The sequence below is a fragment of the Homo sapiens genome, chromosome 3, assembly GCF_000001405.40.
Source record: "Homo sapiens chromosome 3, GRCh38.p14 Primary Assembly".
Classification (NCBI taxonomy): Eukaryota; Metazoa; Chordata; class Mammalia; order Primates; family Hominidae; genus Homo; species Homo sapiens.
Genome location: NC_000003.12, coordinates 100,394,972 through 100,414,174, shown reverse-complemented (window position 1 = coordinate 100,414,174; position 19,203 = coordinate 100,394,972). Strand labels below are relative to the sequence as shown.

Below are 19,203 nucleotides of genomic sequence, written 5' to 3'. Positions count from 1 at the left end.
CCAGAGGAGCCACGTCCAAATTCCTGAGCAACAAAATTATGATATGTAATAAAGCAATGTTTCAAGACACTGAGTTTTGGGGTAGTTCGTGAAGCAGCAACAGATAGTCAGAACATAGTTACAGAAACTATTTTTTTTTTTGCAGCTTTGAATGTTTTTCAAAATTTGACAAAATTGGGTCTTTTCTTCATTGTTGAAGTTAAGGCTATCTTCCACTGGTCGGGAAAAAATGGCAGAAAGATGGAAAAGCACAGACTAGAGGCTCTCAGGTTCAATGCTAGAGCAATGCTAAGAACAGCACTGCATAACCATGGCTGCTAGTTTGAATGCCTTTTATGAGTGAATACTCTACTGTAGGCCCATCACTTAGTAATGGACCAGCATTTTCATGCAAATCATAAAAAGAAGCACCTTTCTCCAGGCAGACCCAGCCTGACAGAAGGCTGTGCTGAGCAAAGTGCATGCTGGACCTCAACACCCACTCGCCCCAGCATTCTTGTGTAGGGCACCATGAGCATAATCTGTATGTAATATCTTTATAAATTAAAGTGCAGGGCAACAATTCTGCATTTACAAATGACACAAATTCTTCTGGGTGGCAATGAACTAAACTGATGAAGATGGAAAGATCTTATAAATCCATGTGAGTGGGAAGAAAGGTGGGAAATGAGTGCATAAAAATATACATATGAGCTATCAGTCACAGCTAAGGAGAGGAAACTAGTGTTACTACAGATTGTTCCCTGAAGATAAATGCAGATGCTCCTTCTGACAGCAAAAAGGGCAACCACTTGATTGAATCATAAAGTGACATTCCCCCTGAGAAGTGAAGCAGTACCACCCACTCAACTGATGCTTTGATGGAAGTTGAATAATGCAGAAACCATCAGGATTGGGGGGAAAAAATAACCGCATAAGGGCTCAAAAGAAACAGGCTTCCATATATCATAAATGAGATACAAAGTATAAACCAATCAGGTCTTCCAGGAAGCAGCTTCAGTGGTGGAAGTGGTAGCAGTGACCACAGCATGCTAGGGACTGGGATCTAGCCAGAGGCTATAAAGGTGGTTGTGATGGAAGTAGACTATTTCTGGTGGCGGCAGCTGCAGCAGCAGGAGCAATTGGTGTCCCGGCTGACACCAGTGGTATTGGACAGCAATGGTGGTACCAGACTGTTAATATTGACAACAATATCAGTTAGAAACTTGTTCAACAAACACTTCATCAACTTTTTATTTCGCATTGACCATATTTCAGGTATTGTGTTGGGTGGATAAATAAGTTAACAGGCACTCATCATATGCCCAACCCTCTTACAGATACAGGAGTACAAAGATGACTAGAACATGCTCCCTGCCCTTCAGGGACTCAGAATTGAGCATAGGCAGCAGATATGAGAATGAATAATTATGGCAATACAGTAATTGTGAGGAAGAAATAGAATCTGAGGGATGGTCTAATACAAAAGAGAAAACATATTACTTTGCTCTGACATATAGAATTAGAGAAGGCATTGTAGATTTTGTACAGGATACAAAATAAATCAGACACGGCTTCTGATGTTGAGATACTTATAATCCAGTAGATGAGTTAGGACAAGTATAATACTATAAAACAAGGCAGAAAAGTAGTAAATTTTGAGAAAGTCCCAGAAAAAGTATTCTGGGAGTTTAGGGGAAGCATGTAATAGACAATAAATATTTTTTTAAGTAAATGCAAATCCTACCTATTCCATCTATGCTACTGTTTGGATATGGTTTGTTTGTCCCCACCAAAACTCGGGCTGAAATTTCATCCCAAATGTGGCAGTTGGGAGGTGGTGCCTAATGGAAGGTGTTCAGGTCAACGGGGTGGATCCCTTTTGCTTGGTGCTATTCTCACGGTAGTGAGTTCTTGCTCTCTAGAGACTGGATTAGCTCTCTGGGAACAGATTAGTTCCTAAGAAAGTGGGTTATTACAAAGCAAGGTTTCTCGTTTGGTCTGTCTTCACACATGTTCACATCCTCTTTGAACTTCTGCCGTGTTTTGATCTAGCACATGGCCTCTTCCAGAAGCCAAACAGATGCCAGCGCCATACTTCTCAGCATGCAGAACCATGAGCTAAATAAATTTCTTCAGAAATTACCCAGCCTCGGGTATTCTGTTATAGCAACACAAAAATGGCTAATACAATCTTGAATGTCACTTTTTCCTTCTTTGATACCTTTAGCAGAATATTTATTTACTTAAAACAGTATTTATTGAGTGTCTATTATATGCTAACTATTATGGACTGAATATTTTTGTCCCCCGTGTTCCCCCAAAATCCATATGTTGAAGCCCTAACCCCCAATGCGATGGTATTTGGAGATGGGACTTTGGGGAGGTAATTTGGGTTAGATGAGATTATGAGGGTGGGGCCTTGGTTTGATGAAATTAGTGCCCTTATAAGAAGAAACATCAGAGAGTTTACTCTCTCTCTCTGCATGCATACAAAGAGGTCATGTGAGAAACAGAGGGAAGGTGGCCTACAGTGAGCCAGGAAGAGAACCCTCACAAGAAAACAAACAGACCTGAACTTTGATCTGGGACTCCCCAGCCTCCAGAAGCATGATAAACAAATTTCTGCTGTTTATGCCACTCAGTCTGTGGTATTTTGTTACAGCAACACTTGTAGAGTACTACAGATTTTGGTACTAAGAGTGGGGCATCTGGCCTCCAAAATTCATGCCCTTCTTACATACAAAATACATTCATCATTCATCCCACCCTAATGTGCTAAAAGTCTTAACTCATTACAACATCACCTCTAAAGCTTAAGGTCCAATGTCTCATTAAATATCATCTAAATCAGGTATGGGAGAGAACTGAAGTGTGATTCATCCTGAGGCAAAATTCTCTGCAGGTGTGAACCTGTGAAACCAGACAAGTCATGTGCTTCTAAAATATGATGGGACAAGGCATAGGATAGACAGTCCCACTCCAAAAGGGAGAAATAGCAAAGAAGGAAGAGGTGATGGCTTTTGTAACAAGTCCAAAATCTAGCAAGGAAAATTCCTTTGGATCTTAAAGCTAGAGAATAACCCTCTTGGGTTCAACTCTCTGCCCCCCAGGCCCTCTCGGGTGGTAGTATCATTCTCACAGCTCTACAGGGTAGCCTTGCCCCTTCAGCTTAAGGAGTAAGGCCAGTCCACAAGCTCTCTGCTAGGGCAAACCTGACCCTGACCCTGATATAGTAGGCAAGGGTTCCTGACCCACCAAAACTGGAAGGGCACACCCACTCTTTGAAAAACAGAAGGATTCAGACCTACTCCCTGGGCCTGTAGTGGGACTGGCAGCCCTGAGGATTTCTGAATTGCTGTTGGAGTCAGTCTTCCCTTTTCTTGAAGGATAAAGTATTTTCAGAGCCAAATAGCTCTATGGTCCCATCCTGTAAAATCTAAGTCTGATAGCTTTCCTTCATCCTGTCTCATTTTTTCTGTTTCCTTAGTCTCAGCCAGCAGTGTTTCTGCTGGTAAAATCCCATCTCTATTCTTGGCTTCTGATGAGATGGCTGATTAAGTCCATGAGTTGTACCCAATCTCCATGTTCTGGCTCCTTTTTCCTAACCATTCCTTCTTCAATTCACCTCTCTCCTCTTGCATTTTACTATAAGCAGCAAGGAGGACCCAAGGGGTACCTTTGATACTTTACTTAGATATCTCCTCTGCTATGTATCCAATTTCATCACTTGCAAGTTCTACCTTGCACAACACTAGGACACAATGCAGCCATATTCTTTGCTACTTTATAATAAAGATCACCTTCCAGTTTCCAACTGTCTGTTCTTTATTTGTATCTGAGATCTCACCAAAATGGCCCTTAACATCCACATTTGAATGAATATTCTGTTCATGTATTTATGTATTCTCTAAGAAAATGGAAGCTTTGTTTCTAGCTCTCCTCTTTACTTTCTGACCCCTCACCAAAATTTCTTTTAATATCCATATTTCTACCAACACTTCCCTCACAACAATGTTGGCTTTTTCTAGCAGGCACCTCAAAAATCTTCCAGCCTGTACCCATCAATCAGTTCCAAAGCTAATTCCATTTGTTTAGGTATTTTTCTGTTACATTAGCACCCCATTCCTAGTACCAAAATCTGTATTAGGGTTCTTCAGAGAAACAAGACTAATTATAGACAGATAAAATAGGTAGATAGATAGATAGATAGATAGATAGATAGATAGATAGATAGATGTAAGCTATGTACATATATATTTATGCATATATTTAATTAAATATATACAAATATATATTTAGGCTGGGTGTGGTGGCTCACGCCTGTAATCCTAGCACTTTGGGAGGCTGCGGTGGGTAGATCGCCTGAGGTCAGGAGTTCAACACCAGCCCGGCCAATATGGTGAAACCCCGTCTCTACTAAAAATACAAAAATTAGCTGGGCACAGTGGTGGGTACCTGCAATCCCAGATACTCGGGAGGCTAAGGCAGAATCGCTTGAACCCAGGAGGCGGAAGTTGCAGTGAGCCGAGATCACGCCACTGCACTCTGGCCTGGGCTATAAGAGTGAGACTCAAAAAAAAAAAAAATATATATATATATATGTGTGTGTGTGTGTGTGTGTGTGTGTGTGTGTGTATGTATATATATATAGAGAGAGAGAGAGCTGGAATTGCAGGCGCCCACCACCACACCCAGCTAATTTTTGTATTTTTAGTAAAGACAGGGTTTCACTGTCTTGGCCAGGCTGGCCTCGAACTCCTGACCTCATGATCAACCCGCCTCAGCCTCCCAAAGTGCTGGGATTACAGGCATGAGCCACCGTGCCCAGCCTATTTATTTATTTACAAAATTATGGAGGCTAAGACCTATAGTAAACAAGCTGGAGACCAAGGAGAGCTGATAGTATCTTTTCAGTCTGAAAGTCACTAGGCTCTACACCTAAGAAGAGCTGATATTTCAGTTCAAGTCCAAAGGCAAGAAAAGATGAATATCCCAGCTCAAGGAACTTAGGGAGGAGGAGTTCCCTCTTATTCATCAGTGGGTCAAGTTTTGTTCTATTTGGGCCCTCATCTGATTGAATGAGGGCCAACCACACTGAGGGCAATCTGCTTTACTCACTCTGCCAATTCAAGTATCAATCTCATCCAAAACATTCTCACAGAGGAAAGTAGAGCAAGATGGTGGAATAGGACTCTCCAGCAATTTTCCCACAGAGAAATATGAATTTGAACAACTATCTATGTATAAAATACCTTCACGAGAGCTAAGGAAACCAGGTGAGAGATTATAGCACCTGGTTATAGCATAATAATAAGAAAAGACACATTTAAGTAGGTAGGAAGAACAGTTTTACATTACCCATGTCACCCTTCCCCCAAGACCAGGCAGCACAGCCCGGAAAAAGATATTGTCTGCTTGGGAGGAAGAGAGGAAAGTAAAGGTAAGACTTTGCCTTGGACCCCAATACCAGGCCTGTCACAGTAAAACTCAGCACTGGGTAGACCCCCCCATGACCCATGACTTCAGGCCAGTAACTGCAGACTGAGACTCTAGACCCATCCCGGCAGCAGATGGGAAACCATAGCCCCTGTGAGACAAACTTGAGTTCCAGCCCACATCACCATCAGCCAACTACAGTGGTCTTGGGATCCAAATAACCCACAGCAACAGGCAGGCCCCCTCAGTGGCTGCAAGCTTCAGATGTACCCCAGTGCTGCAGTAGCCTCAGCAGCTGTGGGCTTTGGGTGCACCCAAGTGCTGCACCAGCCTCAGCAGCCACAGGATTCCATCCCAGTGCTAAGTCAGCTTCAGTGACTACGGGATTTCAGCGTGGCACTGTGCTGGTCACAGTAGGGAGTACATAGCACTCCCTAGAGCTGGAAGGGCTGCAGTGGTCACAGGCTCGGAGACCACACCAAATGACCTGCCTAGAATCTCTGGACAGGCTTACTGTTAGAGGATGTTCCCAGACAAAGCCAGATTGTGAGGGCTGGAATAAGTAACTGCTTCTTGAATGCACACACACTGACACATGACCACAAGAACAATCGGGGAATCATGACATCACTAAACAGACAAAATAAGATGCCAGTCATAGACCCTAAAGACACAGATATATCAACTATCTGCCAAGGAATTCAAAACAGCTGTTTTAAAGAAGCTCAAAGAACTTCAGAAAATACAGAGAAACAAGTCAACAAAATTAGGAAAATAATAAATGGTCAGATGAGAAATTTACCAGATAAATTGAAATAATAAAATCAGACCAATTTTGGAGCTGAAAAATACAATGAATGTAAAAATGTAATAGAGAGCATCAAGAGCAGGATTGATCAATCAGAAAAAGAATCTGTAAACTTGAAGACAGGTTATATGAAAATATACAGAGGAGAAGAAAGGAAAAAGAGTGGAAAGGAATAAAGAAACTTTATAGGGTTTATGGGATAGTATCAAAAGAGCAAATACGCAAATTACCAGCATTCAAGAGGGAGTAGAGAAAGATAAGGGTGTAAAAGGCTTATTTAAAGCAGTAATAGCAGAAAACTTCCCAAACCTGGAGAAATATATAAATAGCCAGGTACAGGAAGGTCAAAGATTTGCAATTAGATTCAATCCAAATAAGACTATCACAAGACATATTATAATCAAACTCTACAGATCTAAGACAAAGACAGGATCCTAAAAGCAGCAAGACAAAAAAAGCAAGTAACATATACGGCAGTTCCAATATGCCTAGCAGCAGATTTCTCAACAGAAATCTTACAGGCCAGGGAAGAGTGGTATGATATAGTCAAAGTGCTAAAGGAAAAAAAAGACTGTCAATCAAGAATACTGTACTCAGCAAAACTGTCATTCAGAAATGAACATGAGATAAAGACTTTCCTAGTCACACAAAATCTGAGGGAGTTCATCACCACCAGACCTGTCTTACAAGAAATGCTAAAGGGTGTTCTTCAAGCTGAAAGGACACTAATGATAAACACAGAAACATCTGAAAGTATAAAACTCCCTGGCAAAAATACGTACATAGCTAAATTTAATTTATAATACTCTGATACTGTAATGGTAGCATTTAAATACTGTAATGAGGGTGTGTAAATCACGTATCTTTAGTAGGGCTAAAAGATAAAAGTATTAAAATTAATAACTACAGCAACTTGTTGATGGATATGCAATATAAAAATACTTAAATTGTGAAATTGAAAGCACAAAATATTGAGGAAAGGAAGTGGAGTTAAAGTGTAGTTTGCATGTGTATGTGTAAATAATCAAAGTTAACTTGTTATCAGTCTAAAATAACCTGTAATATCTATGTTTTTTGAAGCAAAAACCGACAATAGATACACTAAAAATAAAAATCAGCCAGGCGAAGTGGCTCATGCCTGTAATCCCAGCACTTTGGGAGGCTGAGGCAGGCGGATCATGAGGCCAGGAGTTTAAGACCAGCCTGGCCAACATGGCAAAACCCCGTCTCTACTAAAAATACAAAAATTAGCCAGGCATGGTGGCGGGCACCTGTAATTCCAGCTACTTGGGAGGCTGAGGCAGGAGAATCGCTTGAACCCGGGAGGCGGAGGTTGCAGTGAGCCGAGATCATGCCATTGCACTCCAGCCTGGGCAACAAGAGCAAGACTCCATCTCAAAAAATAAAAATAAAAAAATAAAAATCAAGCAATCAAAAACACCACCACAGACACATTTATAATGTTTAAACAAGTATCTGGGTATCCCATGGCCCAGTCAAATTGACACATGAAATTACCCATCACACCACCTATATTCTGGGCTCTGGCTGTACAAAATGAACAGTTTCTGTCCTCGTGGGGCTTACATCCTATTGAGGGGATCACACTATTTTTTTATTTTTCCCACAGACAAGTGTACACCTGAGAGGTTTTTTTTTTCTTGAGGCGGCATCTCACTCTGTCACCCAGGCTGGAGTATAATAGGGTAATCTCGGCTCACTGCAACCTCCGCCTCTGGGGTTCAAGCGATTCTCCTGCCTCAGCCTCCTGAGTAGCTGGGATTACAGGCATGTGCCACCATGCCCGGCTAATTTTTGTATTTTTAGTAGAGACAGGGTTTCACCATGTTGGTCAGCCTGATCTTGAACTCCTGACCTCAGGTGATCCACCCGCTTCGGCCTCCCAAAGTGTTGGGATTACAGGCACAAGCCACTGCACCCGGCCCACATAGGTAATTTCTAATAGTGCTAGGTGCTAATATCGTAGACCAAAGAAAGAGAAGAGGTGTATGAAGGGAGGCATGGGTGGGCAGAAATGTTGAACTTTATAGTGAAAGTGAAGAGGATTTAAAAGTCTTTCAGCTCAAGAGTGAAATTACAGTTATGCTATAGGAAGAGTAAATTGATATCAAGGTGCAGGGTGACACATAGAAGAGAGGCACTAGAGGCAGAGAAATTATCTGGGAAGCAAGCAAATATAGGATTTAGGCAAGATGAAGGAAATGAATAAAAGAGAAAAAAGAGGGGAATGTAATAGTATTAGGAGTTGAGGCCTTTGGGAAGTGATTAGATCATGAGGATGGAGCCCTTAAAAATAGGATGAGTGCCCCTATAAAAATGAGACTCCAGAGAACTTTCTTGCCCCTTTCCACTATTTGAGGACACAAACCAAATTTGCAGTCCTCAACCCAGAATAGGGCTCTTACAGAATTTGACCATGCTGGCACACTGATCTCAAACCCCCATCCTCAGGAATTGTGAGAAATAAATTTCTATAGTTTATTAGCTAAGTAGTTTTATGATATTTTTGTTATAGCAGCCTGTACTAAGATGGGAAGAAACTATTTATTGAGTATCTGTTATGTGTTATACATACTCTTAGGAGTTTTCACTTATATGAACTAAGAAGTGTCAGAATGGGTGAAAAAACTATAAGAAAGATATTACAACAAAGTTGAATTTGTTGAAGACTTCACAGCTGATTTTGTGTTTATGTGTGTATATAAATACAACAGCATAATCATTTGTGCTTGGGTAGGTAAGGATGAAAAAGAGAGAGGTCTAAAAAGGTCTATGGTTTCAAATATGAGTAACTGCTAAGGTAATAGTGGTATTATTAGAAAAAATGGATAACACAGGCTGGGTACAGTAGCTCATGCCTGTAATCCCAGCACTTTGAGAGGCCGAGGCGGGCGGATCACGAGGTCAGAAGATCGAGACCATCCTGGCTAACACGGTGAAACCCCGTCTCTACTAAAAATACAAAAAATTATCCAGGTGTGGTGGCGGGCGCCAGTAGTCCCAGCTACTCGGGAGGCTGAGACAAGAGAATCGCTTGAACCCAGGAGGCAGAGGTTGCAGTAAGCCGAGATCACACCACTGCACTCCAGCCTGGGCAACAGAGCGAAATTCCATCTTGGAAAAAAAAAAAAAAAAAGGATAACACAAAGAGAAAGAATGAGTGGGGAAAATGATGAGTTATATTTTTGACAAAAGTCAGGAATCCAAGCAAAACTGCTCAGTAAGTAGTAAGAAATATAGGGCTAGAGGTAAAAAGGGAAGCTATGCCAAAAGATATATAGACAGTGATTATCTGCACAGAAATGGTACCTGAAGCAATGAGATTTACTTTGGTTACTAATGGAGAGATTGAAGATAAAGAAGAAGACATATTCTAATAAATTCCTCACTTGAGGAATATCTAGAGCTGTGCTGTCCAATATGGTAGTCATTAGCCACATGATACTACTTAAATCAATTAAATAATGAAAACTGTAGTCTTTGTCACACTACATTTCAAGTGCTCAATAGCCACATGTGGCTAGTGGCTACCATATTGGACATCATAAATATAAATCATTTCCAGCATCATAGAAAGCTGTGATGGACAGCACTGATCTAGAGTTTGGTCAGAGCGTAGAAGAACCAGAAGACTCTATTCTCCTGAAGCCAAGGAAAAGAACATTTCAAGGAGAGAATAATCAGTGGTATCAAGTAAAAGTGGGTGACAGCCAACCTCCCCCACCCACAAAAAAACCACAATGAATTTTATGACTTCTAAAGCACTTTCAGCCTAATTATAAAGTTGTAAACTAGATTACAACAGATTTTGGATGAAATGGGTGCCAAATAAGTAACAGATGTAGACAATTCTTTTCAGTAATTTTTCAGTAAGGAAAAACAGAATGAAAACATCAGACAGCTGAAAGAGAATAGAGCTGTTCTATATGTACATGCTTAATATAAGCAGATTTGTGCACTGGCTGGAAGGTTTGGACACCAGTCAACCAGCTATTTACCAACTCTAGCAATCTGAAAGGCCTTTCATGTAGCAATGACAATTGAAGGGACAGAATTACATCATTTTAAAACAATAAGGAGCCTTAAAAATAATCTAATCCACCCCTCCTCACATTATAAAGAAAGCAGAGTTGCCCATGGTCACACACACAACTCAGTGGTATTAAAATTTAGAATAAGAATTCAGGTCAGCTGGGCATGGTGGCTTATGCCTGTATTCCCAGCACTTTGGGAGGCCGAGGCAGGTAGATCACCTGAGGTCAGGAGTTCAAGACCAGCTTGGCCAATATACAAAAAATTAGCCTGGCATGGTAGCAGCCGCCTATAATCCCAGCTACTGGGACGCTGAGGGAGGAGAATTGCTTGAAGCCTGCAGGCAGAGGCTGCAGTGAGCCAAGATGGCGCCATTGCACTCCAGCCTGGGCAACAAGAGCGAAACTCCATCTCAAAAAAAAAAAAAACTCAGGTCTTCCACAACCTAGTCCATTAGACTATCTCATTTAACTGCCTCCTAAGATACAGATCAAAGGTGAAGAAAGCTTCTTCAGTTGAGTTCCACTAATCTACCAAGAAAAAGATAATGTCTATGTTCACATATACAGAACTTTAATTTTTTAGAAATGAAAGGCAGTATTTTACTTCTTTACTTTAAAATTTAGAAAAACTGAGAACTAATCATCAAATATCTATTGCTTTGTAACAAACATCAAAAGAACTTTAAATATTCTCTAATTAAATCTTTACTATAGCCTGAGAGGTAGATGTTTTCACCATTTCACAGATTAGAAAAACATGCATCAGATCAGTAAGGTCCCAAAGCCAGTAAGCGACACTCTATTTGGCTCTACAGTACCATCAATTAGGAAATGGAGGAGAAAATGAGAGAATAGCATAGGCTAGAGAATGGAAATGAGATGTTTATCAAAGTATAAAAGTAACCAGAACAGATTCGTTTACTAATGCCAACCTTAAAAATAAAGCCAAACAAAATCAGGCCTTTAGATAAATATTAATCCAAAAAATGTTTCAAGAAAATAACACCGATTCCCTTTGGAGAGGGGAACTGTGCAGCTGAGGACAGGGACTGAAGGAAGACTTTTCACAGTAAACTCTGTAACTTTTGGAGTTTAACCGTAACAGTGTATTGCTTACTCCAATAAATAAGAAAAAGGTTTAAAAAAAAAACTTCAAATATGTTTTAGTTCCTATCAAGTTTGTAATTGTTAGCACTCTACAATCCTCCAAGAGGCCACAGCAAAACTGAAATTTCAGAAAAAAAAAAAAATCCTAACTTGTGTTCTGAAAAAGGCAAGGCAGAGCTTATATTAAGGGGCAGAAAATTTGCCTTTGGGGATTGGGGGATCAGGAGGGGAGAAAAGCCTATTGCCTGCAACGATCAACTCAATTCCACTGCTATTTTTAGCCCATTTTTTTAGTCTGTTGCTAAGAAACCCTATTGCCTGAAGGCAATTTACTAATAGGAACTTACATGAAGCAGGAGAAACCGGTGATCCTGAAATTCTTTCCAATTAGGCCATTCTATTTTAATCAGTCCATTCTGGTGCCACTTGATAAAATATCTCCTTTCAATCTTTATGTAGCTCTACTGTGATGTTGTTGCACTTAACAGCAAAACAATCATTTATGAAATCTTAATGTAAGGCTTCTGCAAACCAGTATACCAGAAATGGAGAACCATAGTTCTGGACTCTGATTTTTCTATTAATAGTTGTCTTCATGAAAATACCGTGTATTCCAAACAATACCTTGCAAGGTAATTTTATATTTTAAGAGATCTGGTGCAGAGCATCGGAAAAAGAGTTGATAAAGCTATTATAGATAAAAAGCTGTGAACTGAAATTACGATTTGGGAATGAGACGAGAAGAGGGCTGAGACTGCTACTGCAAAACAACCCGGGGGGCGTGCGGATCAGAGCGAGATGTGGGCTGACGCAGAAATCAGCTCAAGATACAAATACGCCAAGAAAGGCTCGAAGCCGGCGGGAACCCTGACGCTTCGCATTTCTACCAACTCAGTTTAAGAAACCCCTAACAACGCAGATGTCATCGCTTCGTTAATTGGTGCCGACGATGAGCCACAGCGACCACGCTCAAACCGTTTCGACTGCAGCCAACCTAGATGTGCCATTTCCACCTAGTCTTCTGCCATCGCTATCTCCCCTATAACCTCAAATTCGTCCAAACTAAAATCTCGCTATGTTAGTGATAAGAAGTTCAGTGATGCAGCAGCCTTCTTCAGCGGTGAGCTCTTTCCTCACACATCTTTAAAAGTCCTTCTAATCCGTTGGTTTCTCGGGCACGCGGGCAGAAAACCGTGCTAACGGCCACAGAGGTTCAAGAGGTGCCAACGTGGCTATAACTGGAAAACTGGATCCGAAATCGACCAGTAAACTGGGTAGCTCGGTCTACGCCCCGCCCACCACCCTTGCTAGCCAATAGCCTTCACAACTCTTCTGCCACTCCCGCCCATTCCAGTGCTGTGCCGCTGCTTTTTCTTCCACTCGGATCTCTTGAGCGCCCTTAGCCCGCTGTATACGCGCCCCTCCTCGGCTTCAGTAGGCAAGAGGGCCATCTGCCCTTCTTTCCTGAAGGTAGAGGGGACAACACCAGCTACGACGGGGACTCCAGAAGTCCATCTCCCGAACAGCAGCGGGGCGAAAAGAAAGAAAAAGGGTTTCCGAAGACTCCTACTCACACCCACGCTTTCCCTTAACCCGGAAGTGATTTCCGCCCCTCCTCTCCCTCTTCGGTTGATACTGGAGGAGAAGGACGGCCAGGTCTGGCCCGGCATGCCCTGGGCTTCCGGTGACCTCTGGCCCTTTTCTGTCGTCCGCTCTCTCTGCCTAGCGTGCTCGCTCGCTCATTGCTTTCCTTCCCTCCCTCGGTCTTCCTTCGCACGCTGTTTGGTGATTGTGGCGCTCGCGACAGACAGGGAGGCGGTGGCAGAGGACACTTGTCATGGCCGCCTCTAAACCTGTGGAGGCAGCGGTGGTCGCAGCCGCTGTACCGAGCTCCGGGAGTGGGGTGGGCGGCGGCGGGACTGCGGGCCCGGGCACGGGGGGGCTGCCGCGATGGCAGCTGGCTCTGGCGGTCGGGGCACCCCTGCTGCTGGGCGCGGGTGCCATATACCTGTGGAGTCGGCAGCAACGGCGCCGGGAGGCCAGAGGCCGGGGCGACGCCAGCGGCCTGAAGCGCAACAGCGAACGGAAGACCCCGGAGGGCAGGGCCAGTCCGGCCCCGGGCAGCGGACACCCTGAAGGTCCCGGTGCTCACTTGGACATGGTGAGAAGCAGCCCCAGGCCGTAGAGGAGGAAACTGGCTCGTGCAGCTTTTCCTTGGCGGGTTGTGTCAGTGAGGGGGCTTCCCATCAGACGGAAGCTGCCAAGCGGCAGCACAACACTTGGGTTTAGGGAGACTCATTTCTGGCTGCCAGTGGAGGGCATAGAGTAGCTCGATGACAGGTTACTGGCATTCTTTGACAGTTTGCTTTTGGTTTCAGAAAAATCCTTTGCTTTTCTTCTCAGTGACACAGCATTTATCCCTAGTGTTGTAGATGGGAGTGGGGCATTTGCAAATGTGATGATTGTATTTAATAAGTGAAGGAAGCTAAATTCGATTAACAATTGGTACATCGTGATACGAACTGTTTCTGTGATTTCCAAAGCCTACAACCTAATCGCTAAGAGCCTTTTAATAATGAGCCACTCCCCCTTTTGGAGTGTGTTTTTGCTGGGGGTAAGTGGGCAACTACAGTGACGGTTAGTTGACAAAAGCAAAACAAAAACAAAAACGATTAGATGGCTTTCTACATAGAAAAAGAAAGACTACACAGGTTCTAAAGAGTGAAATGGTGTTCAGTGGCATTTGTTTTACAGCCTCTGAACTGTAAGCAGAACTGTCAAGCTCCCAAGGCTCGTCCTCTCTCAGCAACCCCGAAGCCCCCTTGGCTGCAAGCACTCAGCGCCCGTAACCTCTCCTGCCATGCCCCAGCCCCAAGGTGTCCTTTTGCACTCCGGACCCCTTGGCCTTTGTCAGAAAACGCTCTGCACTGCACTGTCCCCTCTTGCTGCACAAGAGTAGCGGCCACAGCAATGCTCACCAGGCTTGGTTGCACACAGCCCCCTGCCCCAGGTCCAGGCCTACACACACATACAAAAAAAAAAAAAAAAAAAATGGGAGTGACTTCTTAAACTTTTTGATTGGAAGCATCTTAAATTCAGTTTTTCCATTTCACCTGGAAATGTACATGACCAAGCCTAATATGCATGATACAGTTTCTCTGATGTGAGGCCAAGCATTGGATTATTTAGTGAACTGCTTTGTATGGTTTTGGTGAACTGACTGTTAAATCCTTTTGGTATCTGACAGCTGTGCAGAGAATTAGTCTGGCTGCATTTGACAATACTGGGATTGGGTGTGGTGGATTTTCTCTGGGTCTGGAGTTGTTCAATGGTAGTACCAGAGTAAGTCGAGGTCAGAGAAACGTTTGGTCAAATATCTCCCAGTTTTATACATAAGTATATACAGTTGGTCAAGTAACTTCTAATTGTATCCAAGTGTATACACTTAAATATGTATGCAAGTCATTTCCATATTATACTATTCAGGTTGAATTTTTTTTTTTTTTTTGAGATGGAGTCTCACTTTGTTGCCCAGGCTGGAGTGCAGTGGTGCGATCTCAGCTCACCACCACCTCCGCCTCCTGGGTTCAAGCAGTTCTGCCTCAGCCTCCGGAATAGCTGGGACTACAGGCGCGCGCCACCATGCCCCGCTAATTTTTGTATTTTTAGTAGAGACGGGGTTTCACTGTGTTGGCCAGGCTGGTCTTGAACTCCTGACCTCAGGTGATCTGCCCATCTTGGCCTCCCAAAGTGCTGGGATTACAGGCGTGAGCCACCGCGCCCGGGCGAAGATATTTTTACTAGGATGTCAAATTAGCTTTAAAGGAAGTTTTGGTGTAGGAATGAACAAACTAGTATCTGCAGTGTGTGAGGCATTGTGCTAGGCCATGAGAAAGCCATATGATCTTTCCTATGGGAGAGTGAAGCATTACCTATTTTCTAAAAGGTTTATGACTGGATAGTAGAAGAACTTATGGACTGTGTTAGAACTAGGATTTGTAAGCTTTATAGTGGGCTCTCCAGCATTGTCACTTTGGGAAAGTCATTTTGTCTCCTTGACCTTAGCGTCATCCCTGTAGAATAAGAGGATTAAAATATTAGATCTCTTCTGTTTCTTTCAGTACTAAAAATTGATGATTCTCATTATGATCATTTATAATAGCTCACTGCTGCTATTAAAAGTAGTTATCAAGAGGATTATTTGAATTAATTATCACTTGTCTTACATCAATTTTGGATGTCTGAAATTCTCCAGTCATTTTCTATTTCGTTTGTTAATTTAGTTTTAATCATGGAAGAATAGTAGGTAAAATAAAAGATCCAAAAAGTTCTCAGTTCTGTAAACATTAAAAATAAAGATAGTTTCTATACATGAAACTAAATTTTTTTTTTTTTTTTTTTTTGAGACAGCGTCTAACCCTGTCACCCAGGCTGGAGTGCAGTGGCACGATCTTGGCTCACTGCAACCTCTGCCTCCTGAGTTCAAGCAGTTCTCCTGCCTCAGCCTCCTGAGTAGCTGGGATTACAGGCATGCGCCACCATGCCTGGCTAATTTTTGTATTTTTAGTAGAGACAAGGTTTTGCCTGGTTGGCCAGGCTGGTCTCAAACCCCTGACCTCAGGTGATCCACCCACCTCGGCCTCCCAAAGTGCTAGGAATTACAGGCACGAGCCACCTCACCGGCTGAAACTAGATTTTAACATTTCATTGTGGTTTCAGCCACCCCACCTCATCCCAGGGGATCTGTACCATTGGTATTTGATAAAACCTAGCCATCTCCTTTTCACATTTTAGATGTCCTAATTCCTCTTTTCCACGTTGTCTGGATCAACACTGATGATTTTTTAATTTCATGATATTTCAGAGTTTTTTAGTTTTACAAATAACTTTTTTTTTTTGATACGGAGTCTCACTCTGTCACCCAGGCTGGAGTGCAATGGCGAGGTCTCGGCTCACTGCAACCTCTGCCTCCTGGGCTCAAGAGATTGTCCTGCCTCAGCCTCCCAAGTAGCTGGGATTACAGGCACGCACCACCACGCCTGGCTAATTTTTGTATTTTTAGTAGAGACAGGGTTTCACCATGTTCGCCAGGCTGGTCTCAAACTCCTGACCTCGTGATTCACCCGCCTTGGCCTCCCAAAGTGCTGGGATTACAGGCATGAGCCACTGCCCCTGACCACAAATAACTTTTTATTCACCTGACTGCTGTTAAAAATTAGAATTTAAGATTGGACTCTTTGTGTAACTTAAACTGCTTTAAAATGATTTATTTTTGGCCCCAAATAAAATAAGGCAAAACATTTGCACTTACCATTGTCCATCTTGTGGAATATGTAGGCCTACACCTGTAATCTTTGAATTACTAGATTGTTCTTTGGTAAAGCAACAATAGGAAGGTCTTTGTGATTTTTTTAAACTGGAAATTTATATCTTAACTGTTGGTGACCAGTAAATATTGAAAGACTACTTTTGTCTTCTTTTAATAGTCTGGTCCTTAGAGTTATTATTAGACTATCTAAATGTAATTAATTGATCAGTAATTGTAATTTCTTATCTGTGGTTGGATAAACTGCTGTACATTTGAATAGCACCTCTAAATTGGCATCCTCGGTGGATTTCGCAACCAGAAGCATTTGCTTTCACTGATGGAAACCTGGCAGAATCCTGATGCCCTAACTGTCCTTTCTCCACCTGAGCAATAGCTACAGTTTTTAAAGGAATGAATAAATAGACAAATATTGTCTGTTTAGGGTTTGATATCAGAAAATAGAATGGAAAATCTGTATTTTTGTCTTTTGGCTTATGTTTACCTTAATGTAAAATGATCTGATAGAATTACTGGACTTCTGTCTATTGGGTTGGAGATTTTCCTTTACAATTAGTGTGCACAATTACCTTTTTTCTGGGATAGCAAAAACTTGTAAAGGAAGTGCAAAGGATATTCATAGTTGTTTTAATTAATGGGAATATTGGGGTATCACTGAAGAAAAGCATTTAGTCACAGTTGATAGTGTCTAAGACTGAGGTGCTTAAAGTATTAGATCATATTCCATTTTGAACTATTATAAAATCTACCATGATGTGCCATTTTGCTTCAGTAATTTTTTTAAACTTGAAGAATTAAAAAAAAATTTTAAATTGCAAGGCTTTTTAGAAGATCATATTATCCATAGTGCTTCTCAATCTGTGGGCTTGAGTCATCACGAGGGACCACCACACATATATTCCAAGCATGGTATCCTGGCTGTACCAATGTCCCAGATACTTCTTTTTCAAACATCCTGTGATTTTCTAGAAAAATGCACTTATTTAAAAGCATTATTGACTTCATTGTAACTTTTTTGTCCAATTGTTATTTAATCTGATGATAAAAAATGCATCATTCTTGTGTTCATATTTAGCATTAAATATGTTTAGCCCATGAAATGAGTTTAGCCCACATGAAATGGTTAGGAACCAATAATCTAAGCCAGCCTACTACAGTAGGAAAGGGAAGATGTACCTACACATTTTAGTAAAGGGTCGAGGACTGCATAAACTGTTGTTATTGGTCATCTTGTTTGAAATGAAGTCATTCTCTCCCCCAAATGATCTGTTTTGAGTCATTTTTAAAAAATCAATCAGGGACACCAATGACATTCCCTCTAAGCTTAGTTAACACTTTTCAATCTTAATCCTTGGCAGTATTTCATATTGTGCTCTAAATGTCATAACTTTTCCTGCTGCTTCTGAGGTACTCCATTTTCCTGATTTAAAAAAAAAAAAAAAAAAACCTGATACCAGCCTCATGGATTCTTAGTCTCCTTATCACAATACAGAGGTCATTTCATCTTTTCTGAAACTTCTCTCTACCTAAGCACACCACTATGTGATTTTATAACACCCTGGACTTTTCCATTTTATAGCACTTACCACGTGGTACTAGAATTGCTTATTGCTGTTTCCTGCTATGCTCTTGAATCTGTGAAGGCTGAGACTGGCTCTATCTTGTTCACCATTGTATTGCCAGAACCTAATACAGGTGCATAGCAAGTGTTGAATGAATGAAGTTTCATTTTTTGACTAATAATTAAGGGTTCCTTTGACATCCCTAAGTTTATATTTTATATATGTGTGTGTGTATGTATATATAAATTTCACAAGTGGTATATTTTTCAAATTTTCCAGCTCTTCATTTTTGTTCTACCAGTTAATGCTGGATTCCGTGGAAATCTTTTTTCCTTTCTCTTTTTTTTTTTTTTTTTGAGTTGGAGTCGCGCTCTGTCACCCAGGCTGGAGTGCAGTGGTGCAATCTCTGCTCACCGCAACATCCGCCTCCTGGGTTCAAGTGATTCTCCTCCCTCAGCCTCCTGAGTAGCTCGCCACCATGCCTGGTGAATTTTTTGTTTGTTTGTTTTGGGTTTTTTTGTTTGTTTTTTGAGATGGAGTCTCACTCTGTTGCCCAGGCTGGAGTGTAGTGGCGCAATCTCGGCTTACTGCAACCTCTGCCTCCCGGGTTCAACCGATTCTCCTGCCTCAGCCTCCCGAGTAGCTGGGATTACAGGCGAGTGCCACCACACCCTGCTAATTTTTTGTATTTTTAGTAGAGACAGAGTTTCACCATGTTAGCCAGGATGGTCTCAATCTCCTGACCTCATGCTCTGCCTGCCTCGGCCTCCCAAAGTGCTAGGATTACAGGCGTGAGCCACCGCGCCTGGCCGTAAATCTTAAACCTCATTTGGGCATACTTTTTGTAAATCAGTTGATTATGCATGACCTACAATCATAATCCTGCAGAAGCAGTCATTATAAAAGTATATTCTTCCTAGGTAAAGA

At 42.0% G+C, this 19,203-nt stretch overlaps 2 protein-coding genes across 2 annotated transcripts in view, besides 8 other annotated features; one reads left to right on the top strand and one right to left on the bottom strand.

The window, feature by feature from the left end:
- Positions 1 to 12,636, bottom strand: part of LNP1 (leukemia NUP98 fusion partner 1) — a 54,781-nt gene extending 42,145 nt beyond the window's left edge. Inside the window, exon 1 of the mRNA NM_001085451.2 lies at positions 11,736 to 12,636. The gene's annotated coding sequence lies outside the window, so the exon portion shown is untranslated. The remainder of the gene's footprint in view (positions 1 to 11,735) is intronic.
- Positions 5,159 to 5,684: an enhancer, noted in NCBI's record as "H3K4me1 hESC enhancer chr3:100127335-100127860 (GRCh37/hg19 assembly coordinates)". NCBI's record gives its function as "activates a minimal SCP1, AML or CMV promoter by ChIP-STARR-seq in naive H9 embryonic stem cells {active_cell/tissue: H9 hESC(naive)}" and the evidence as "EXISTENCE:reporter gene assay evidence [ECO:0000049][PMID:30033119]".
- Positions 5,685 to 6,210: an enhancer, noted in NCBI's record as "H3K4me1 hESC enhancer chr3:100126809-100127334 (GRCh37/hg19 assembly coordinates)". NCBI's record gives its function as "activates a minimal SCP1, AML or CMV promoter by ChIP-STARR-seq in naive H9 embryonic stem cells {active_cell/tissue: H9 hESC(naive)}" and the evidence as "EXISTENCE:reporter gene assay evidence [ECO:0000049][PMID:30033119]".
- Positions 12,618 to 12,697: a silencer, noted in NCBI's record as "silent region_14572". NCBI's record gives its function as "represses an Ori minimal core promoter by ATAC-STARR-seq in GM12878 lymphoblastoid cells {active_cell/tissue: GM12878}" and the evidence as "EXISTENCE:reporter gene assay evidence [ECO:0000049][PMID:35858748]".
- Positions 12,758 to 12,847: an enhancer, noted in NCBI's record as "active region_20159". NCBI's record gives its function as "activates an Ori minimal core promoter by ATAC-STARR-seq in GM12878 lymphoblastoid cells {active_cell/tissue: GM12878}" and the evidence as "EXISTENCE:reporter gene assay evidence [ECO:0000049][PMID:35858748]".
- Positions 12,858 to 12,907: an enhancer, noted in NCBI's record as "active region_20158". NCBI's record gives its function as "activates an Ori minimal core promoter by ATAC-STARR-seq in GM12878 lymphoblastoid cells {active_cell/tissue: GM12878}" and the evidence as "EXISTENCE:reporter gene assay evidence [ECO:0000049][PMID:35858748]".
- Positions 12,958 to 13,067: an enhancer, noted in NCBI's record as "active region_20157". NCBI's record gives its function as "activates an Ori minimal core promoter by ATAC-STARR-seq in GM12878 lymphoblastoid cells {active_cell/tissue: GM12878}" and the evidence as "EXISTENCE:reporter gene assay evidence [ECO:0000049][PMID:35858748]".
- Positions 13,086 to 19,203, top strand: part of TOMM70 (translocase of outer mitochondrial membrane 70) — a 37,659-nt gene continuing 31,541 nt past the window's right edge. Inside the window, exon 1 of the mRNA NM_014820.5 lies at positions 13,086 to 13,549. Within this exon, the coding sequence (NP_055635.3) occupies positions 13,226 to 13,549 (324 nt within the window). The 5' untranslated portion in view covers positions 13,086 to 13,225. The remainder of the gene's footprint in view (positions 13,550 to 19,203) is intronic.
- Positions 13,308 to 13,387: a silencer, noted in NCBI's record as "silent region_14571". NCBI's record gives its function as "represses an Ori minimal core promoter by ATAC-STARR-seq in GM12878 lymphoblastoid cells {active_cell/tissue: GM12878}" and the evidence as "EXISTENCE:reporter gene assay evidence [ECO:0000049][PMID:35858748]".
- Positions 13,749 to 14,668: an enhancer, noted in NCBI's record as "H3K27ac-H3K4me1 hESC enhancer chr3:100118351-100119270 (GRCh37/hg19 assembly coordinates)". NCBI's record gives its function as "activates a minimal SCP1, AML or CMV promoter by ChIP-STARR-seq in primed H9 embryonic stem cells {active_cell/tissue: H9 hESC(primed)}" and the evidence as "EXISTENCE:reporter gene assay evidence [ECO:0000049][PMID:30033119]".